We start from the raw sequence: 24,083 nt of genomic DNA on the forward strand, positions 1-24,083 counted from the left end.
ATTAGGAACAGTATTTTTCTTAATTACAGGAGCTAGAGTCCAAATTTATCTTTTTAAATTAGATTTGTCAGTGCTCTCAGAAAGTTATTAAAGTGATGGGAATATAGAGCATAATAAATTCTCATTCTATTTGTGAATAATTTTCCTGAGATTTAATAGAATGAAAACAGCCTAATTTTAGTTTGAAGATGACCTTCCTCAGTGTCTTGAAACTGAACTCTTGTAGTGAGTGGCCTTTTGAATTCAAGCCTTTAACTTTGGATCTTGGCACATGGGTATCAAGGAGAAACAATTTGAGTTGGATACATCATAATACTTTTTATTAGCATAGCCTTTGTCAATCTAGCCTCCTCAAGGTTCTTTAGGACCTGGCTTCTGCAGTTGAAAAGAACAGTGTCTTCCTCCCAAGGGGCAGCTGTCTTTTTCATTGAACTTGTTGCTAGAGGAGCTTCTAGTTTTAAAGCACATACTCTTTAGCGTATGTGTTAATTTCATTAACCACCAGTAAGTTCTTCTTATGCATGTGGCCAAAATAATGATATATCCCGCTTGTGGCCAAGGTGAGAACCATAGATAGGCTTGTTATTTTACTTTTCTTTCTTACCTGCAGGCTCTCAAAGATATTTTTTCTCCTTAAGTTTGAGCATATTTCATGTAAATAAAAGGGATCCCAAAGAGCATCTTGTGCGAACCCTTGGCTCAAGACAACCCAACCTAAAATTCATCTAGATCACCTGGACTTTTATGTTGAAAGGATTTTTCCCCCAGAATAGGACATTTGTTTCCCATCTATTCTGGCTTACAATACTGAAGAGTCCCAGTCCATATTTATGAAGGAAGCAGCCTTAAAGTGTTACCATGAACACTTTATAAACAGGCATTGTGGGCCTTTGAAAAGAAAGCTGCTGATGTCTGAGTTTTATGGGAGTCCTAGCCAGCTGTTTAAGTGTTCTTCTTAACACTTAAGTATATTTTGTAACAGAAGAAAAATGAAAATTAGTATATCTGCGCTTCATAATTATCATATTAAAGAGTTGAGTCGATTTTAGCAACTAAACTATTGCTCTCCAAATTTCCTTAATTCATTAAATAAAGGGGTTAAACTAGAAGACGATCTCTGATATCTTTTCACCTTAAGGCAACAAATCTTTGTAGAGTATTTGTGAATTAAATCCTTTATGAAAAGGTGTCCCTTGTAAATGATTGGGGCATGTTGCCTCTTTTCCTTCATATTTTTAGTTTCTGCTATTCATAAAAAAATAAGAAAAATACTAACTTCCCTTAAGAGTAACTACTTAATGTCCAAAAACCCCTCAGGTTCTGCAACTATGATGCACTGATTTATGATGTTTATTTATATACCTCTCAGAAAATTTGAAATGACCAAGAGATTTACAAATGCAATGTTCAGCCAAAAATGTTTTTAACATTCTAAAGGATACTTATATTTTTATTGTTGTTGTTTTGTTATTGTTGTTGTTGTTTTTACAGCCTCCCTCCCAGGAAACTTGGATTTATTGCATGCCTACAGGAGCGCTAAGCATTGAGAGCTTTGTCTACATTATTTAGTTCTTGAGTAAAAAGGGAAATATTTTCTAGAAAGTAGGGTTTGTACCAAAGCCTTCTACCATTTAGGTGAAAAAAAAAACATAGTTTCTGATAAGTTGAATTGATTTCAACTTACAATTATTGGAGTTTTATATGTCAAATAGAGGCACTGCTTCAGTATTAGATGGACAAAGATGACTAAGATCCCTGCCCTTAAGGAACTCACAGTCTGGTGGGTAATGGTAGAACACAGATGCTTTAAAGCAAATTATGATGTGGAAGGCCTAAAGATTGACACATGCACAAGGTATAGAGGGAAAATTGAAGAATGGCATCTAAGGTAGGCTTAAAATCAAATGAACACTTCTTAGAAAAGATGACAGGTTGAGTGAGTCTTAAAGGATGCCAGTCTTGTAACCTCATGCCTGGGGAGCATTGGGATGGAGACTAGTGATGAAGACTTGAGATAGGATGGAAATTACAGGCAAAACCTCCAAAGTATAGAAAGGTGCCCTGAGTCTTTCTCCAAGTAACTGTCTCTATTTTGTTATTTTCAGACCTGGTGCTTTCTTTCCCCTTAAGTTTGGGCATGTTTCATGTAAATAAAAGGGATCCCAAAGAGCATCTTGCCCAAACCCTTGGCTCAAGGCAAATCAACCTAGAATTCATCTAGATCACCTGGACTTGCTATGTTGAAAGGATTCTACCCCCCTGGGATAGGACATTTGTTTCCCATTTATTCTGGCTTATGATACTGAAGATTCCCCATCCACATTTATAAGTGGAAGCCACATATATAAGGCAGGAAGCAAGCCTTAAAGTAGTGCTTCATATTTATAGAACTAAGTTCATTTCAATGATAAGATTATGATCATTCAATCATCGATTTTTTTTTTTTCTTGAATTACTACTATGTGCTGGGCCTTATGAGGTATGTGGACTATCTATGAGAGCTTATCTTGCTAAGGGAGATAAATTAACATCAAACAATAAGCAGACAGTAAAACAGACAGCAGACAGCAAAACAAAAATTAAATTAGTTTGGCCTTAGAGTGATTAAGTCTATTATTCTTAACAGATCCAGCACAGAAGATATGAATGTCTTTGGTTCCCGTGTTATACAAGAAAAATATATCTCCAAAGTAAACATTTCCATAAAGCTGCATTAACCTCATACAGGCACTAGAATAACAGGATCAGCTTGTGCATTTTAAGATTGTAGCACTGTGCCGATGACTTTGAAGATGCGTTTATCTGTGTTAAATGAAATGTTATGCTGCCCTAACAGAATCGGAGTTGATGCTGCTTCCTGTCCTGACCCCTGTGGGTCTGTGTTCCCTGATAATTTTACACAACACTGAGGCGGGAAGAACGTAAATTCCAGGAATGCATTTATGGTTAATCTGTTGTTGAGGTTTAGTCAGACAGCCAGTGTTTTATAAACCAAGCCTCCCATGAAATTGGGCTGGAGGAAGAGGGATCTAATAGAGCAGATAATTACCACTTGCTCTCCATTAACTCAGCCCTTGTGCCCGGGACACTTTTCCTTTTGGCCAGCAAAATTGGAGTGGCTTTGTCATGTTTACAGGGAGCCTGCCTGTTGGCTATTAGAGAGGGACAGAAAGAATCTGCATATAGAAACCCTGAAAGAATACACACTAGGCAACTAATAAAAATGGTCGGGAACCTGAGCAGCATAGTGAGACCCTTTCTCTAAAACAATTTTTAAAAACTTAGCCAGGCATGGAGGCACACACTAGGTCCCAGCTACTCCGGAGGCTGAAGTGGGAGGATCCCTTGAACCTAGGAGTTTGAGGTTGCAGTGAGCTGTGATCGCACCACTACACTACAGCTTGGGCAACAGAGTGAGACCCAGACTCTTAAAAAAAAAAAAAAAAAAAAGTCTGGAATATATGGGCACTGAGGAGGTGTGAGCTTTCTCAGCGTATGCCTATTATAGAACAAACTCCTGCTTACATTTATCAGACCATGTTGCCAAATTAAATGAAACAGATGTGAGGCAGCCAGCTCAGGGCCAGGCCCTTAAGAAACCCTCAGGATTTGTTTCCAGTGCTTCTCTGACTAGTCCCCGATCCATATAATCATCATTGTTTGATAAATGACATTTTCATATGACATCCACCAGCAGGCTATCATGATTCTCGACATGGGTATCAAATCTCTGTTGAAATCTCAGAACTGTTGCTGGGTTTCTAGGTGACTAGAGGCATATCCCTTCACTTCTTTTTGCCTTAATTTCCCCTACTACAAAATGCAAATAATGATAGCTGTCTTCAGTCCTTAATTGTTGGGGAAAAAAAGATTTTAGAAACATTCTTGGCCAGATGCGGTGACTCATGCCTGTAATCCCAACACTTTGGAAGGCCGAGGCAGATGCGTCACCTGAGGTTAGGAGTTCAAGACCAGCCTGGCCAACATGGCGAAAACCCGTCTCTACTAAAAATACAAAAATTAGCCTGGCATGGTGGCAGATGCCTATAGTCCCAGCTACTCAGGAGCCTGAGGCAGGAAAATTGCTTGAAACTGGGAGGCAGAGGTTGCAGTGAGCCAAGATCACGCCACTGTACTCCAGCCTGGGCGACAGAGCAAGACTCCATCTCAAAAAAAAGAAAGTAACATTTTTGTTTCTTAGAAAAGGAGCATAACAATTTAGCCTTTGAAACCGAGTAGCTTAGTCAATCTTAGGCTAAAATATCCAGGCACAGACAGAGGTGAGAGGTGGCAAATGAACTATTTGAGATCTTAATTGGACCAGAAATAGAAGGCAGATTACAGTTTTACCTCTCATTTACTAAAAACAAAAATAACAGAATGGAATTAGATAGCATTTTTTTCAGGTTGAAACAAGGCCACTAAAACATTAGTAGGCAAATAGAAATTTGGAAAACTCTGGGAAGAGTATCCTTGAAGATTTCACTGCATATACTTGAAAGCAAAGTAGGAGAGTGGGAGATTGCAAGCTTTTCAGGTGGTCTTTAGAAATTCTAGTCATCCTTTTTTTAAATATAAATAAATCTCCATTTTAATACATTAATGTCTAAAGTATACCGAAAAAAAAGTTTTTTTTTGTTTTATTCCTTTATTCTTTGTAAAGAATTTCCACCATCAATAGGTATAGTGAAATTTTATCTCTTAGAAAAGGAGCATAAAAAAATTCCACCCATTAATGAAACAGTATTACAACCTGATCACTCACAAGCCAAAAAAGGTCCATATACAGCCAGGGACAGAGGGTTAGGAAATTAACCTCTTTTCTCAATAGCTGTTGGCACGTTCATGCTTAGTCGGTAAACGGGGACTCTTGCCAACATCAAAATCAGTTTAGGTATTGCACCTTCCCTGCCTCAGGTGTCCCCACATGATGCCATCTGCTTCTCCATAGACATGGTCGGACTCTGTGTTCTTGGCAGAGTGAGGGCGAATACTATCCATTTCTATTTTGAGCACCGTTCGTTCCCAAATGCCACCTGAGTAACATACGAAATTCTCTCTCTCTTTCTCTCTCTCATTCATACACATACACACAATCCATGGAGCCCAGGGAAATTAAGAAAAAAAAAAAGACATGTCATTTTTAATGAATATTGCTGAGCTGTTGATTTGTGATATTGTGAAACATGTTTTGAAAGGTACCATTTGCAGCCTTTAGTAGACTACAGGTTATTTTAGGTCAGCAGGTTAGAGCATTTTGAGGAGTTAATATTAATGTGTTGCTGTGAGCCTGTAGTTGGCCTAGGGATTATAAGATAACAAGGTAGTAAATATAGAAACGTTAGCATTATCTCTTATTTTCCATCATAAATTTAAGTTATAGGCCAGTTAGAGCATTCTTGGATTTTTTTTCAAAATCAAACTGTTTTAAAGAAACATTCTAAAGCTAAATTCTTCATGTATATTACATTTCCCCCTATAGTGATTTAAAATAAAGGAACATTTAAAGATTTAACATGATGGAACTTCTTCCTTCAGTTGCACTTGAGTGCAAAAAATCAACTTTCACAATGTTAAAGCCTAAAATACTGAAATTAAAAGTATAGTCTTCCCCAAGAATTTCTGGAAAATGCCCAGAATCTGTTGTTTGCCTTTCTAGTGCATATTCAATAAGAAGTCATAGAATTTACTTCAATCTCATAAAAGTTCCTGCCAAGTGAACAAGACAGCTGTTGTCTGGCAGTTGAGCCGTAGAGAGTTATGTGACTTGTTCAAGTTTACAGTGAAGGTAATAATCTCTGCATTCTGGCTAAGGTCTGTGTGTATCTTTTTGCTCTTGAAAGCTTGCTCTGTCCCGCCATGGAGTACTCTGACCGGCAAGCAGAATAAAATAAGCAGTCATTGGGTATTCACAAACACATAGAACTTTGTTTTTCATTTTTAAATATCTTTATTTTTTAGAGCAGTTTTAGGTTCACAGCAAAATTAAGCTGAAGGTACAAAGATACCCCTTATCCCACCTACCCCAACACATGCACAGCCTTTTCTATTATCAGCATCGTCCACCACAGTGGGACATTTGTTACAGCTGATGAACAGACATTGGCACATCATTATTACCCAAATTCCATAATTTACGTTAGGGTTTACTCTTGGTGTTGTTCACTGTATGGATTTGGACAAATGTATGATGACGTGTTTCCACCATTATAGTATCACACAGAGTTGTTTCCTCAGTATCTATGGGTGATTGGTTTCAGGGCAACACCCTCCCCCCTTGCCCACCCCCACAAATCCATGGAAGCTCCAGTCCCTTATATAAAATGGCATAGTATTTGCATATAACCTACGCACATCCTCCTGTATACTTTAAATCATCTCTAGTTTACTTATGATACCTAATATAATGCCATTGCTACGTAAATAGTTGTTATGCTTTAGGGAATAATAAGAACAAAAAAAGCAGAACATGTTCAGTATAGATGCAAGCATCCTTTTTTTCCCCCATTATTTTCTATCTGCAGTTGGTTGATCCACAGATATGGAACCTAGGGATATGGAGGGCTGACTGTGCAGAATGTTTCTTTAATCATTGGTAAATCACCAACATTAAAACTCATGCGTGCTTATTGCCATCCGAGTGTCTTGTTTCAAGAAGATATTACAGTCAAAGCTCAAACAAGTTATGGGCAGAGCCATCAAGAATTCATTTAGACTGTAAACTTTTAATGACCCACCCAACCTTCTAACCAGTTTATTTCCCCTTTCCAAGTAAATATTCTTAGTGTAGGAGAGCATTTCTCCCCATCTTTCTTCTCTCTAAGTAAAAATGCCCGACGCTATGGGCAGTGCCTAGATTGGGCGCATTGCCCCATCTTGGTGTTTGCAGCAACAGTTCTTAGCCTGGACTCACCAGGACAGGGTGATCTTGGTCACATGCCCAGCTCTTCTCTCCAACTCAAGAAAACCTCATGGAGTGAAAATGAGAGGGATGCCATTCTGAGGACTCCTTCAGCTTTTCCAACCTTGTAAAACAGACTCATGAGCATTGGTGCTTTGTTAATAATACTCGTGTTAGAAACAATAATATTTACATAGTATTAAAAACAGTAGTATTTATGGAACATTTAATAAGTGCTAGGCATTGTCTAGTGTTTTCCTTCATCATCCCTTTTAATTCTCTCAATAATGCTACAAGGTAGTTACTCTTATCGTACCCACTTTACAGAGGAGGAAACAACTTACCTGGTTATAGAACGCACCATTACCAGACTGTTGAGCCTGAACTCAGACCCAGGCCAGCTTACTGCAGAGCTTATATCATCACCCAGTGTGTTGTATCCAAACTCCCTGCACAGTGGAGCCCCACAGGTGTTACTGTGCTTGTCCTCTTCTTGGTCCTCACAGGAGCCTGGGTCATGGAGCTGATGCCTCTGAAGCTTCATGGGCACAGGCAGCAGGGGATGGAGGTAGAGTAGAAGACCCCTCAGAGATATTGCCAGCGTGGGCTGGGGCTCCTGTGGTACCATAAGGGTTGCCTGTAGCTACATATGCCTCAGCCTGAACTCATACTAAAATGACTCAGTGACTTTATTGAGCATATGGTATGTTCCAGGAACCGCTATATATACATTATTCCTTGTTGCTTTTGTCAGCAAGCGTGCTCATGTCATGAAAATAACAAAGTGAGCATTTTATTTGTATTCCTTGGCCACCAAATTAGATGAGTGATTTATGTTGGGGAGAACTAAATGTCTGGCATAGGCTGTAACAGAACATCACAGATTTAGATGGACATGTTCCTGCTGGGTCAAAAGCTGTGAATGACCCCAGTAGCCTGGGGAGAGGCCTATATAGCAGGAACTGGGAGCCAGAGGTCCTCAGGATACAATTCAGATCCCCAAAAGGTGACCTGTGGCCTTCCTGGTGCAGAGTTTGGGGCCATTGGATAATGCCATATGCCAGGCTCTTACTGTGTCCTAGGCTCAGTGCTGAGGTTTTACCAACATAAATATTGCATTGACTCTTAAAACAATCTACGAGGTAGATGCTGTGCCCATTTTACAAATGGGAGGAACTGACACTTAGCAGGGGTGAATGATGTGGCAGTAAAGCGCAGAGCTGGTTAGAGCACAGGTCTTCCTGGGTCCAAGTCCCTGTGCTCCACTTCCTCCACCGACAGTGTCAGAGTTACAGAGGGGAGTGAAGGATGGTCCAGTCCTTCTCAGCAGCCTAGAGCAGGGGAGCAGCCCAGGGTTAAGCAGGTGTGACTCCTCGTGGAGTGCATCCCTATTTCCTGAGCCCCACTCGCTGTTAGAAACCAAGGTATTGAGGGCTTAGTGAGAGTTTTTCACCATTTCCTGCTGCTTTAGGTCCTCCCATTTCCAGTTGTTTTCTTCCTACTCCAGGGATCTCCTCCCTTCCCCAGGGTTGAAGCAATGCACACTGAAGTATTAATAGTAGTGATCAGCACCTTCAAGACAGCAGGACCCTTCTGTTGCCTTCTGGCTGTGGTGTGATGTCCTAGGGCCTGTGGTGCATAAGCAGGTGGAATCTAAGCACTGACCCTGGTCATTCTACATATAAGAGGAAGAGGACTAGGAAAGCTCGACAAATGCTGTTCTCCTCTTCATGGCAAAGCCTTGCTCTTTGGAATCCTTATCTGCATTTAAAATGTGTAGTCTTCAATCATTGTGTCTTGGGATGCTTGGTATATTTAGTTCCATCACAAAAGGCCTCTGGCTTACTTATTAATGAATTCTGAAATTAAGTTGTCTTTTAAAAAAGATATAGGAGCAAGAAAAAAATTAACTTAGTCTTTGTAAAACAAATATTTGATGAATATTTGTAATCTCTCCCTGAGTGGTTCTAGCCACAGGGGTGTTAACCTACAGAGCTTCCTAGAAAGAGCACCATACAAATGGCCATAAATCACTGGCCCCGAAGAAGGAAGATTCTCTCTTATTTTGCCTCCTGGAATGATGGGAAATAATTATAGAACTGGGATGAAAGAGGAATTATATTATTCTTGTGTTGGCATATGTGCTTTTTATTATGTTTTGGTAGGTCTTTATTGTCTGATATTGGAGGAGCAAGGGGAACCAGACATTACTGTCAGCATGTACATTTCATGCTAGGGTTTACCAGAAAGAAACTTAGAATCAACAGTTATCTGAGGCCTGCTGTGTCAGAGCTTGGGGCTTTTATGTGAGCCGTCAAATTCAGACCTCACCAGTGTGTTCCAAGGAAGCGTCTCTGCCTGTACTTCACTGGCAGGACCCGCCTGAGGGAGAGTAAACAGCCTCACAGATGTAGTCCCACAGCTCATGTCTGAGGCCAACATGGCAGCCTGCTCTGCAGGGTTGCCTCTTACCATGCGGCTGACTTTCCACCTAGAAAAAAATCTGTGTTAGCAGTGATGTCCGTGGTCTCTCAGAACACACAGGGAGTCCTTTCTAAAAATTCTGTCTTCACAGCATTAAGATGATTATAACTAACACATATTGAGTTATTATATATCAGGATTAGCCTAAGCACTTTGATTTTATTTATTTACTTATTTTATTTATTATTTTGAGACAGAGTCTCGCTCTTGCCCAGGCCGGAGTACAGTGGCAGTCTTGGCTCACTGCAACCTCTGCCTACCGGATTCAAGCGATTCTCCTGCCTCAGCCTCCTGAGTAGCTGGGACTACAGGCACGCATCACCACGCCTGGCTAATTTTTGTGTTTTTAGTAGAGATGGGGTTTCACCATGCTGGCCAGGCTGGTCTCGAAATCCTGACCTTGTGATCCGCCCGCCTCGGCCTCCCAAAATGCTAGAATTACAGGCCTGAGCCACTGTGCCCGGCCAGCAGTTTTCTTTTATTAACCCATTTAAACCTCACAATATCTCTGAGGTTGGTTCCATCATTTCACTGATTGTACAGATGAGAAAACTGAGGCACGAAGAGGCTAAACTACTTGCTGGTGTTTCATAGTCTACAGAGCCAATTCCAGTCTCAGAAATTGCATTTACTGAGAGCCTACCAAGTACCCAGATCTTTAGGGGGTATAGAAGAAGTTTAACTAGAATCTATTTTCTTATGTATTTAATGAATTTTTTTGTTGTAGAGAGTAAAATGACATGAAATTGGAAATGACTGTGATAAATGATTTTCATAGTATAAAAATTGGTACCAAGTCTTTCTCATCCCTTTCATGTCATGGTTTCATTCTTGCAGTTCTCTTTCTATTCTTACCTCTTTTATTTCCTTAAGAAGAGGAAAGGGTAGGGAAAACCTTTAAAGTGAGGAAGGTGTCAGCTTTTTAATAATGTGCCAACTTGCTACCTCTGTCTTTAATGTCTCCCTGTGGCTCTTGGTCACACTTCAGAGTGAGATGACTGGAGAAAGTCTTCAGAAGGCATTAGCTATGATCATCTTGCATCATTGCTCAGCCCTTCTGACCTTGGGCCTGTGTGTTCATCTTAGGGCACAGGCCCCAAAAGGACAGGGTACATCAGTGTTTCTAGATGGCCCAATTGACACTTGATGCTTTCCTGCCTTGGGCTGTTTCACCCAAAGCTCTTAGGATTCCTTATGTCTCCCCTTCCCACCTTATACTTGTTTCACCCAGGAAAGAGCCTCTGTCATGCCCATCGTCTCCTTCCCTCCTGAAGGCTCAGTATCTGGTTAATTACATGACATAGGAATTACTTACCATCTATTTTGGCTATTTCCATACACATTCTGAGAACAAAATAAAAGAGCTCTTCTCCATGCCCCTCTCATAATTTCTTCCCATGCCCTTTTTTGGGGAAGGCAGGCCAGTCAAAGCAGTGATGGCTTTGATCAGAGCAACGAGCAGATCATGATTTATTATTGCCGGAGTAGACAGTGGGCTACATTAGAGGACTGCTTAGACGCATGCTTATTCTAGAAAAGGCTGAAGGAAGAAAGAACCACCCCTTTCCCTCCTCTTCTCAGCTCCCTTCTGCTGGGAGCACCTGGCTGCCAGTTCCCAAGTTCCTCTCCATGGGGAATTGCAGCTCCAAGGTGGCCTCCTGGAGCTGCCTAACTCCGCCTTCACTGAAAATAAGGTGATTGAACTGTAAAGCTGAAATCCTCTGCAGTCATGTCTCCTCCAGAGTCTTCAAGGTCACTCCCACTTTTTTTCTAGACACAAATGGGGTCATTTTTGTAATTCTAATTAACACTGTCTCCAGACATAAATAAAATTTTAAATTTCTCATTGCTATCAGCTGTTTCCACTATGTTTTTCATAAATTGGAATGCAATTTTAAACAGTTAATAAAATTCTCCAGTACAAGAGCAAAACAAGAAGTTAAAGGAACACAATAGTCTAGAAACAGAAGATTTTGATGTATTTTTAAATTGATATGTATGTTATCTGTTCTATTTAGATTACAAACTTAGAGTAATGAATTTGCTTCAGTAAATTTCTTTGTGACTGTGAGTGCTATTGCTTATATTATAATTGGGTCTGGGTCCAAATATATATTGAACTTATTTTCCAAAAGAAATACTCTCCTTAGATTGTGGCATGGCAGGAAAGCATACTGTTCCTAGTAGTCCTCTCCAAACTCCTTTAAAAACTGAGCTTTATGGCAAATTTGTAATGAAGATGTAACACTTTCACTACTTAAACCATGACTTCAATTTGTGATATAATTAAGGGCAATTACTCCTGTTAGAGATTGTAGACTAGGTTAGGCTGAGTTAATAAATAGCTGTTTGGCTCTGGCATTAGCAAGGATGTCTTCATTAGGGTAGTAATGTGTCAAGAGTGCTAAATAGGTTGCCATGGTATTTGTGGGTTTCAGCCTGGACTCTGGCTTTCCCTGAAATTAAAAATGTTCAGCCTTTAATAAAAGGCACTTCCTTACACAGCAAAGCAGACAGAACACTAAATAGGTGAAATGACCAGGGCTCAGGAACTTGATTGCAGAGGCTGATGAATACACACGTGGATATTTTAAAGTAAGCATTGACTCTGACAGGCTTTGTTAAAAAAAAAAAAAAAAGAAAGAAAAGAAAAGAAAAAGAAAAGAAAATGTTTTAGATCTGTATCTCTTCATTTTTCCATCCATTCATCCATCCAGAGGGACTGTGCTCCAGCACATGGAAAAGCTGCTGCCCTGCTTCAGAAAACCTTGCCCACACTCAGGACCAGCTAACGCACAGGGATTAGGTCTTATTCATCTTTCAAATCCGCAGAGCCTAGCACACAGCAGATGTTCAAGAAATGTTTGCTAAATGAATACATAAATTCTGCTTACCCCTAGGCCAAATTGGCCCAAGAGTCAGACATTTTGGATTATGATTTTGTTAGTGGCCAACTTCCAGTATCTGAAGACAGTGGATTGTCCTCAGATGCTGTGACGAAGCCCTGGAAATGTAGAATCCATTGGCCTGTCTGTCTAGGAACAAGGCGTTGTGGTTGGATTAACTTATGTAGTGGTTCTCAGCGTGTCCACTGGACCAGCAGGATTCAAATACTGAATCTACTAAAGATCCTGGATGACTTATGGGAAGTTATGTTATTTCCAAAATTTTACAGTTAAACTATATTTTTTAAAAAGATGACAGCATACTGTAGTTCTCAAATATGTTTTTATTGTGAAAACGTTGTTTTCAAGACCCTGGGGGAAAACACCTAAAACATAAGGCCTTGTTTGTTTATCTGTGTGCCTGTTATGCTTAACGTTTCATGGAAATCTTAATTAGCAGAGAAGTGTAAAATAGTCCTGGATCCGATGGGGGAAGGAGCCAAAAGCTGCCAGTCCAAACTGTCCAGCCCACCTGTGCTGTTTGTCTGTGATTTTGATGAACCTGATGGATGATTCTGAACACAGCATTTTTTTTTCTTTTTACATGTGTTCTCAACGATCCATAATCCTAAATATCTCCTTAGCAGTTGAGGAATGGGGCTTTGAAAGCTCTTGGTAAGATCGATAAAAGTTAAAATTAAAAGCATTTCTGGCCAAACCGCAGTTATTTGCAAAATTTGGCTAAAGAGGACCTTATTTCTCAGGTGTCCTGTTAACATTAACTTCATTGCCTAGTACATAGTAGAAGATTAGTTTACACTACCAGATTATAGATATTAGCATTATGAAAAATTTGAAAATTCTGTTTTTTATTAGTAAATAAAAACATGAGCAACTGATGTTTCTAGAATCTAGATCCTAATTAAAGGAGTCTCATTCCAGTCTTTATATGTGCTTAAGTTTATGTTTTTCTTTTATCAAAACATACATTTAGACATTAAGCTTAACCCTAATGTAGCAACTGGCTGATTATTAATTCAGAATGTATGGAAAGCGTTTACCAGGTTGGCCTAATCTGCTCCATTAGTTTGCATCATAATTAATTTCTTGTCATTAGTAGACGTTCAGATGGCTAATTGATTCTGCTCCTTCTTCTAGGTTTATTTCAATCTACAGAGGACCCAGCCACACCTACAAGGTCCAGAGACTGACGGAATTCACATGCTACTCCTTCAGAATCCAGGCAGCAAGCGAGGCTGGAGAAGGGCCCTTCTCAGAAACCTATACCTTCAGCACAACCAAAAGTGTCCCCCCCACCATCAAAGGTGTGTAGACTATGTATTCTTTCTCGCTCTCTTGTGAGAGTAAGGAACTGTTGGGACTTATAGAAAGAAGCTCTTTTCTGATGTTAAATATAATGTCAGCAAGATAGAATCAAAAGAACATTCTAAAGAAGATTGAGCAATGATGGGTTGTCTGGGGGAAATGAGAGACCTTGAAAGGAAAGGGCCTACTGATGACTTTTCTCTGTAGGTATGCATGTTTATCAAAAATAATGGTTAGAAATAAGGGTTAAATTCCTGGTGCTGCAACCCTTAAGACAGTTTACCAAGGAAGGCGTCAGACTCCCCTTTCCTAGACTTTCAGAGAAGCAGAGGTTGGCATTCATCTTTCAGTGACTTTGGTGCCTAGAGACTGACTTAGGCAACTTCAGCAGCCTTTCTCTTTTGGCGCACAGCTCTTGGTGTGGAGCACTGCCTTTGGAAAGCTGTAGCAGCGTTCTGCTCTAATCTCCTGGGGTACTTATCTTGAAGTTTCTTCAAGGATGACTACTTTCCTACTCTGGCCCCTTAATGGGATCAGGTACTGCAGAAGTTGTGAGAGCCCCATGTATCCAGATCTTCCCCATATCTCTCGAAGCTAGTGAACAAAAGACACTCTGCCTGGACCCTTCTTCCACCGGGTCTGCTGAGCCCTCAGCCTGTTATATAGCCACAGAGCTATGCCTGACTGCGGCTGACTTGCAAGGCAGGAAATAGCAATAGAAACCATAGCATGCTCAGCCTGTCCACCCAGCCACTCATGGACTCCTGAGGCCCTGCCTCATCTCCTGCAAATACTGTGGTTCTTGTGGAGGTCCCTGCAGCTTGTCTTTTAGGGGACAGACAGCACAAGTGGCTTATCGAGCTATTGCTCAAAATAACCCTAAGGCTGACAGATAGCAGGGTAAGTACAACCTGCACAAGAGATCCTTGCATATGTGTTTGACTCTCTACTCCCACATGAAGGAGGTGTGTCAGCTACAACCAGGGCACAAAGTCAATTATAGGAACTTTCCAGGACCTGGGTCAGGATTTGGCTTGGATTCTACGAACCTCATAGCTCCTTTCAGGATTAGTTTAGGGTAAATACCTTCCTCCTGCTTCCCTGCCCTGCAGACTCTTTGGCAGACCCTTCTTTATGTGACTAAGACATGAGTATGAATGTGCATACACATGCACGGCCTTGTCAGGTCACTTTGGCAGTAAATGCCCTGGCCCTTTGGTGCAGCTTTGCCTTTCAGTTATAACACAAAAGATGTCTGAGCACACTGTGGCTGCTTTGGTTTATTAGTACCAAGGAAGGGTGGCCACATTGATCAGTTATCCCACTTCAGGGGTCTTTCTAGAAAGTATGAAGGAGTACTATCTTTGCCTCTCAAAGTGATTCTTGGTGGGGATTCATTTTACAAAAAATACAATGGCACATTGATAGTGCTTGCATCTCCCAGCCTTTCTACTTCAGAAGGTCAGTTTTCCCACTCTGATGCATGATCAGGTAGTCTTCCTCTCACTCTTAGACTCAGGAAATTATTGTCATAGCTGGAGGACAGTTTAATCTGATAGGCTTCCTTATTTAGTTTTTTCATAAAATGCTTGGAATTTTGGCCTAGTATTTCCAGCGTAGGCTCCTTTTCTTCTTCTTCTTTTTTTTTAAGGAAAGCATTATTTTTCTGAAACAATAACACACAGAATTGCAAGCAGAAACAACTGTCTCTAAAGAATTAGTTGCATGTAATTAGGGATTAAAGTATAAGGGGGTTCAGACAGGAGATATACATTCTAGTTACAAAATAGGAAAATGTCCTATTGAATCAAGCTGTAGAGATAGAAGTTATGAAAATATTTTTTAAATCTAGAATATTTTAAGTGCCTTACTGCAGACTAATATAATTTAGCTTTAAATGAGAATGAGGAGTTCAGGAGGTGAAAAATAAAATATATATAAATATAATTTAATTTTTAAAGGCTTTCAATGCTGCCCATTCCCCAGGACTGTTCTCACATGTCACCTGCTCCTCAAACTTTCCTTAGACCCTCACCCAGGTATGCTCTTTTCCTCCTCTGGAAATTCCCAACGTTTTGTTTGTACCTCTCATTTTTATTCCCTGATGTTTCTTTTTGTATGCGTCTCATACCTTGCTCTCCCCTTCCTTCAACTAACTCTTAAGTTTCTTGAAAACAGGGTTTACCTTGCCTGTTTTTGCATCTTCCAGAATACCTAGGACAGGGCCTAAGCCATAGAGGATACTCAATTGCCATAGGAGAAAAAAAGATGTGATCCACATCAAGCTGTTATTAATGGGATAATGGGCAAAGGATTTTTCATCAATGGCTTTTTAGTCATGGAGTAACTTCTCTGTGCCTAAAGGGCACCCTGCTGGTTTTATGAGAGGCTGGGCAAATCAGCTCCTCTCTCAGGGCAAACACAGGCACAATCTTGCTCTCTCTGGGTTCTCACTAATAGTGCTAAAGTGTTGACTATTAACATGATACTTTGAATTTTGAGCTTGGATGTGTGGATTTGTATTTCAGCACCTCGAGTAACACAGTTAGAAGGAAATTCATGTGAAATTTTATGGGAGACGGTACCATCAATGAAAGGTGACCCTGTTAACTACATTCTGCAGGTATTGGTTGGAAGAGAATCTGAGTACAAACAGGTAAGAACCAGTGTGCATGGCACATGTGCAACTGAGTATGGCTGGCTCCATGCCTCTGCTTATTGCTATGAATGACTCAGTGAACTATGTTTTTCTTAAAATCAGTGATAGAAACTGCCTAACTTGTACTTATTGTATAATTCTTCAGAGTGGGTGAAACCTAGTTTACATTTCATTTTATATATGGTGGTATTCATCTTCAATTTTCAGTTCTCAAGCATATGTTTGTCTTAAAGAGTTGTAAATCGTTTATTTGTATTTGACATTGATGGTGAGGTTTGCAAGCATCAAAGTCAGTATGTAATTGAAAACTAAAGTGCCTGTGATTTTACTATAGAGGGAAGTAGTCTCTTTTTTTGTTGTTGTTAGTATTGATCTTTTTTTTTTTTCATTATACTTTAAGTTCTGGGATACATGTGTAGAATATGCAGGTTTGTTACATAGGTATACATGTGCCATGGTAGTTTGCTGCGCCCATCAACCTGTCATCTACATTAGGTATTTCTCCTAATGCTATCCCTCCCCTTGCCCCCCACCCCCTGACAGGCCCCAGTGTGTGATGTTCCCCTCCCTGTGCCCATATGTTCTCATTGTTCAACTCCCACTTATGAGTGAGAACCTGCGGTGTTTGGTTTTCTGTTCCTGTGTCAGTTTGCCAAGAATGATGGTTTCCACTTCATCCATGTCCCTACAAAGGACATGAACTCGTTCTTTTTTTATGGCTGCACAGTATTCCATGGTGTATATGTGCCACATTTTCTTTATCCAGTCTAACATTGATGGGCATTTGGGTTGGTTCCAAGTCTTTGCTATTGTGAATAGTGCTGCAATAAACATACATGTGCATGTGTCTTTATAGTAGAAGGATTTATAATCCTTTGGGTATATACCCAGTAATGGGATTGCTGGGTCAAATGGTATTTCTGGTTCTAGATCCTTGAGGAATTGCCACACTGTCTTCCACAATGGTTGAACTAATTTACACTCCCACCAACGGTGTAAAAGTGTTCCTATTTCCCCACATCCTCTCCAGCATCTGTTGTTTCCTGACTTTTTAAATGATTGCCATTCTAACTGGCGTGAAATGGTATCTCATAGTAGTTTTGATTTGCATTTCTCTAATGACAAGTGATGACGAGCTTTTTTTCATATGTTTGTTGGCCACATAAATATCTTCTTTTGAGAAGTGTCTGTTCATATCCTTCACCCACTTTTTGATGGGGTGGTTTTTTTCTTGTAAATTTGTGTAAGGTCCTTGTAGGTGCTAGATATTAGGCCTTTGTCAGATGGATAGATTGCAAAATTTTTCTCCCATTCTGAAGGTTGCCTGTTCACTCTGATGATAGTTTCTTTGCTGTGCAGAAGCTCTTTAGTTTAATTAGATCCCATTTGTCAATTTTGGCTTTTGTTGCCATTGCTTTTGGTGTTTTAGTCATGAAGTCTTTACCCATGCCTATGTTCCGAATGGTATTGCCTAGGTTTTCTTCTACGGTTTTTATGATTTTAGGTCTTACATTTAAATCTTTAATCCATCTTGAGTTAATTTTTGTATAAGGGGTAAGGAAGGGGTCCACTTTCAGTTTTCTGTATATAGCTAGCCAGTTTTTCCAACACCATTTGTTAAATAGGGAATCCTTTCCCCATTTCTTGTTTTTGTCAGGTTTGTCAAAGATCAGATGGTTGTAGATGTGTGGTGGTATTTCTGAGCCCTCTGTTATGTTCCATTGGTCTATATATCTGTTTTGGTACCAGTACTATGCTGTTTTGGTTACTGTAGCCTTGTAATATAGTTTGAAGTCAGGTAGCATGATGCCTCCAGCTTTGTTCTTTTTGCTTAGGATTGTCTTGGCTATACACACTCTTTTTTGGTTCCATATGAAACTTAAAGTAGGTTTTTTCTGATTCTGTGAAGAAAGTCAGTGGTAACTTGATGGGAATAGCATTGAATCTATAAATTACTTTGGGCAGTATGGCCATTTTCACGATATTGATTCTTCCTATCCACGAGCATGGAATGTTTTTCCATTTGTTTGTGTCCTCTCTTATTTTCTTGAGCAGTGGTTTGTAGTTCTCCCTGAAGAGGTCCTTCACATCCCTTGTAAGTTGTATTCCTAGGTATTTTATTCTCTTTGTAGCAATTGTGAATGGGAGTTTGCTCATGATTTGGCTGTTTGTCTATTATTGGTGTATAGGAATGCTTGTGATTTTTGCACATTGATTTGGTATCCTGAGATTTTGCTGAAGTTGCTTATCAACTTAAGGAGTTTTTGGACTGAGATGATGGGGTTTTCTAAACGTACAATCATGTCATCGAGGAGAAGTAGTCTTAACCTAACTACTGAAGCCTACATTCTGTCTACCTTTTTTGTAGAACTAATGGAAGGTTAAGGGAGATGATGCATAGGCCCTGGAGGCCTGTGATTCAGAAGCTCTAAGTCATGCATGTCACCTTTTAATGTCAAAGGAATCACCCGGGAATCTGTTAAAATGCAGATTCTGACCTGGTAGGTCTTGGGTGGAGATTCACCCTCCCAGGTGACACTGACATTGCTGGTCCATGGACCATAATTTGAGTAGCAAGGCTCTGTAAATCACATAATAAACCCACATAAGAGAGAATGCATTTGGAATATAGCCAGATAAGAAATTAGTTTTATCATGTTTCATAGCCCTTGTTGATTCTTAATTCTTCCAAAGAAGAATCAGATCAATGACTCTGAAGGATTTAGATACTCTATAGGCTTTCATAATAGTCCCTAGAACTTGTTTTTGTCAAATCAGGATATAATATTATGTATTCCATTAGGAAAGCTGAGGTGCATTCTTCGTCAGCACTTTTAATAGGAGCGTTCATTTATATCAAACATAAAGATGAAAATAAATGCCACCTGTTCTCTGAAACAGTAGCATAATTTATAAAAAAAACTTTGTTCAGTTCCAAATACACAAGTAGAAAATCATTTGATTCAGAGTTTCTGTTAAATTTCTCATTGGTGTTTGCTATATGATAATAAAGAATATTGGCAAATAAAATGTTTTTAAAAAAAGGTAATTTTGGACATTTTGCTGTACTTTGTTAATATGATGTATCAGATAAAAGATTTAATTGTTTTAAACAAAAAACTTTATCCTAAATATGACATCTACCAGTGTCGATTAACATCAGCGGATGATGTCACCAAAGTTTCCATCATTCCTCTTAAATAAGAACAAAGACACTATGGTTCCTTTTATTTTTGAATCTCATTTTATACGATATATTCCATTTCAGAGTAAATAACTTACATGCGTAATTGTTTCATTTTACCAGAAAGATATGATTGGTTTCGGGTCTTAGCTCAAATAGAGAGCAGAGAATTTATTCTGTTCCATAGCAATGTGAAAATGGTTAAAATATGAGGTGTTAAGAAATTTTACAACATATCATTTGACGCTTAATAATAATTCATTTCCCAGCAGTACATTGATCACACATTTGTTATTGTATTGTAAAAATCTTTTATTTTACGTGCCGTGCTTTTCCACCTGTTCTTGGAAAAATGTTCTGCTTCCCAAAGCACAGTGACTGCTGTTTCCTGTTGAAAAAAGCAGCATTATTTGCTTGATACCTATACACATCAGGCATTGCCAAACTATAGGTGAATCTATTCAGTAATTTAGATTTTATTGGCAGATGATCTCTTTTGAATGTTGTCTGTTTAATGTTATATATTTAGACCCATGGCCATATAAATGCTAATATACTAATGCATAATCATATGTATGCCACAGACTATTTTTCTTATTATAAACAGTTATAAACAAAGTGTTCCTTGTTGTAAACAGGTGAAAACACACAGTACTGCACGGCAGGCTCAGCAGATGAGGCTTAGCATTCTCCACATGCCCATTTGCTTCCTGCATTTACCAAGAAATGATTAAGGAGAGTAGTCGTACATGAAAAGCCACAGTTGAGTCAGGGACAATTTGTACTGGTTTCTTTTTTTTTTTTCTGGCTTCTCGCTATTCAGCAAACATTAACTTAAACATGATGTTTTAGTACTTCATTGTTCTGGACATGAGCTAGGGAATGAAACATATTTATGTGTGCAGAACAATGGTTAAAATAATTATAGTTCAAGGATAACAGGCAACAGGCTTTGAATTCATAGAGGCAAAGCAAAAGAAAATGAGAGGTAATTACTGCTGTACATCCACCACAGCGGAGCTACAGGCTCACTGTGTATACCTCAATTATAGCACTAATCAGACAGGACCCACTAATACGTGGGCTTGTGTTATTCATTTTTATTTTTCCAGTACTGGCATATAGTTTGACACTCAGTAAATGTTTCCTGCATGCATGAAAGACGCAGCTTCAAAGCACCAGGGTTATTTATACCTGCAGTGGTGACAAGAGTAAACTTCAGCATAGAAAGAAAAAAATCACCCCTAATAGGATAATATCCTTTTCCCCCAAGACCTTTTTTCTTTTTTTTTTTTTTGGACAGAGTCTCACTCTGTCGCCCAGGCTGGAGCACAGTGGCGTGATCTCGGCTCACTGCAAGGTCTGCCTCCCGGGTTCACGCCATTCTCCTGCCTCAGCCTCCCGAGTAGCTGGGACTACAGGCACCCGCCACCACACCTGGCTAATTTTTTGTATTTTTAATAGAGACGGGGTTTCACTGTCTTAGCCAGGATGGTCTCGATCTCCTGACCTGGTGATCCACCCACCTCAGCCTCCCAAAGTGCTGGGATTACAGGCGTGAGCCACCATGCCCGGCCCTTCCCCCAAGCTCATTTTTATAGGCGACACATGACAAGTGCCATGGCCTTTTCTGATGTTTTGTTTGAAGCATCAACTCTAACTTTGCCTTGGTTCTAGGTGATTCGCTTTCTGTTTTTCAGGTGTCACAATGTGGGGCAAGCAGCTGATTTTAATTATTAAACAATCTATTAACTTGAAGTATTAAATTATTACTCACAATTTTACTCTTCATTAGATTGCATGCACATTTGGTTTGCCTTTTGCCATTTAATAAATATTCCAAGCACAGCTTTTTTTCCAGGAAGCTTAAAACTTCTTTTCAAATAGGCTTAACTGTAAAGTATTCTTTAAAAGAATGAAAATTGTGTCTATATGCATGTGACTTCTTATTTTGTACAAGATATAGCATAGACAGTTTCATGCATAGTAAGAAGTAAAGCAAAACAATTCATATTCCTATTCAGGCAGCAATAACTTTTCTAAGAAGTATTTAATATAAGCATTGAAGACAAGGAAAGGATCAACAAATTGTGAGAAATTATTACCTATTGGCAGTCAAAATTTATGAAAAATTACTGAAATTCTTGGTGCTCAGATTTGTTGCGTAAAGAAAACCTCTGGGCTGGGCGCGGTGGCTTACGCCTGTAATCCCAGCCCTTTGGGAGGCCAAGATGGGCGGATCACGAGGTCAGGAGATCGAGACCATCCTGGCTAACACAGTGAAACCCTGTCTCTACTAAAAATACAAAAAATTAGCCAGGCATGTTGGCAGGCACCTGTAGTCCGAGCTACTTGGGAGGCTGAGGCAGGAGAATGGCATGAACCTGGAAGCAGAGCTTGCAGTGAGCCGAGATCGTGCCACTGCACTCCAGCCTAGGGGACAGAGCGAGACTCTGTCTCAAAAAAAGAAAAAAAAAAGAAAAAAAAAAAAAAAACCTCTGAAGTGTCTAGAGGTCTGTAAAGCTACACATTTAATTTCATGGTATTTCTGTATCAATATATTTTTATCATGTATCATTTTTAGAATATAGTATCAAGGCATGCATTGATTCTACATGGTATCACAAAGAGTACCACAAGGAAAGATCTTCTCTTGACCAAACTATTTTAAAGTCTTGGAGCCTCCTTTTTTTTGAGATGGAGTCTCGCTCTGTCGCCCAGGCTGGAGTACAGTAGCATGATCTCAGCTCACTGCAACCTCTGCCTCCCGGGTTCAAGTGATCCTCTTGTCTCAGCTTCCCAAGTAGATGGGATTAAAGGCGCCTGCCACCATGCCAGGCTAATTTTTGTATTTTTAGTAGAGACGGGATTTCACCATGTTGTCCAGGCTGGTCTTGAACTGCTGACCTCAAGTGATCCACCTGCTTCGGCCTCCCAAAATGCTGGATTACAGGCATGAGCCACCACACCCAGCGGCTAATTTATTTTTGTATTTTTAGTGGAGATAGGTTTTCACCATGTTGGCCAGGCTGGTCTCCAACTCCTAACCTCCAGTGATCCACCCGCCTCACCCTCCCAAAGTGCAGGGATTATAGGCGTGAGCCACCATGCCTGTCCCCTTCATCATATTTTTTTAATGACTTTCAACTCATTTCCCTAATACAGAAATTAAACAATGAGGCTATGACTGTCTCATAGGACAGTTTTTTATTTCTGCATGAATAAAGGGTCAAATTTAGAACAAAATAAAAATAGATCAAGATAGACCTCTTTAAAAACCATCGTTTATTTTACTGATTCTTAGGGCTTTTTTAGTTTTATAGGTTTATTTAAGTATCTGAAGGTCATGACCCCTTATATCAGAAAAATTCCCATACATGTACCCATACCTCTACTTAAAATTCATGTAAAATGAACTGATAGTCACTTTCATGGAGGCCAGGTAGAGGACTCCTGGTTTATTGAGAAACTGTCGGGTGTTTTACATTGTGAGGGCTTCCTGGCATAGTCAGTACTCTAAGAGTTTATAGGCCCATTGGATGAAAACCCCCAGGAAGCAGTTCAGTAACGGTACCCTTGCCTCTCATCTTTGGCTCAAGGACAAAGTTATGTGCCCAACATTATGCCCTCAATAGAGGAGGCCTGCAGGTTAGCACATTTCCCCTTGAGCCTGGTAGGCATAGCAGGGGAGACACGGCGACAAGTCTCCCTCCCATAGTCATGTAATTCTGGAGGAATTAATTCACCTAGTTGAGTCTTGGCTTTCTCATTGTAACCCTAACTCAGGTGGTTACTGTGAGCATTAGATCATTCAATCATGAGAAGGAGGTGTACAGATGATAACATGGTGCAATTATATCTCCCCTTCAGTTCTTGGGAGGGGTGACATTAGTAAAGAGATGAAGGTAAGCCTCCAGCAGCCGAGTATGCACTGTTCTCGCCACCCTTCCCAAAAAGCTCCCTGTTATTTACAGGATTTCAACTATGCAGCATGTTATTTTGAATTAAGGGTTATGGATTCTTGCTTTCAGTTGTCTGGGTATTACTTTAAATCCTCTCATTTGGAATAAACATGTCAAGATTACTTTAAAATATATCATTCATCAAATCAAGAACAGAAATAGTCTTTGTAAAAATAATAATGTTTCTATACTTATTACAATATTATGATTGGTTACTTCAATAAAAAAAATCTCAAATGGAGCCATGCCGTTTAAATTGGATTGAGTCAAGAGGAAAAGCCCATAAGGGTGCCTTTGTCAAAATGAATGAAAACAAAGGGACACAAAGCGTGGCCTGCTGCCCTGATGCGCAGAGCTGCACAGTCCTGGGGGAGGCACAGCTGTATGGCAGGCCTGGCGACATGGTGATTTTTGTGACATCATTAGTTCCTAAGTACTGTGGGTTGTAAGTGTCCGTGGCCATGTCTGGACACCAAGCCAGCATCATGGGGCTCCCCTTCCGTTGATTTCTGCAAGTCCTGTATTTGTAGGCCCCAAGGGTCCCTGGCACCAAGCATTTGTCCTGGAGTGTTACACATGATTTCTGCAAGGCGGGGCAGGGAAAGTACAGTCAAGTAGCAATATAATATATCATGTTGACATTTCTTAGATGCCTACTGCATGCCAAGCCCCGTCCTAGGAG

The 24,083-nt window shown here is 39.9% G+C and overlaps 1 protein-coding gene across 10 annotated transcripts in view; it reads left to right on the forward strand.

The window, feature by feature from the left end:
- FNDC3B (fibronectin type III domain containing 3B) overlaps positions 1-24,083 on the forward strand; it is a 362,092-nt gene that overhangs the window by 325,264 nt on the left and 12,745 nt on the right. For all 10 annotated transcript variants that reach the window (NM_022763.4, XM_017007062.2, XM_024453717.2 and 7 more), the window contains 2 exons: positions 13,429-13,595; positions 16,125-16,252. In NM_022763.4, coding sequence (NP_073600.3) covers positions 13,429-13,595; positions 16,125-16,252 — 295 coding nt within the window. The remainder of the gene's footprint in view (positions 1-13,428; positions 13,596-16,124; positions 16,253-24,083) is intronic.

The sequence above is a fragment of the Homo sapiens genome, chromosome 3 (genome assembly GCF_000001405.40).
Source record: "Homo sapiens chromosome 3, GRCh38.p14 Primary Assembly".
Classification (NCBI taxonomy): domain Eukaryota; kingdom Metazoa; phylum Chordata; class Mammalia; order Primates; family Hominidae; genus Homo; species Homo sapiens.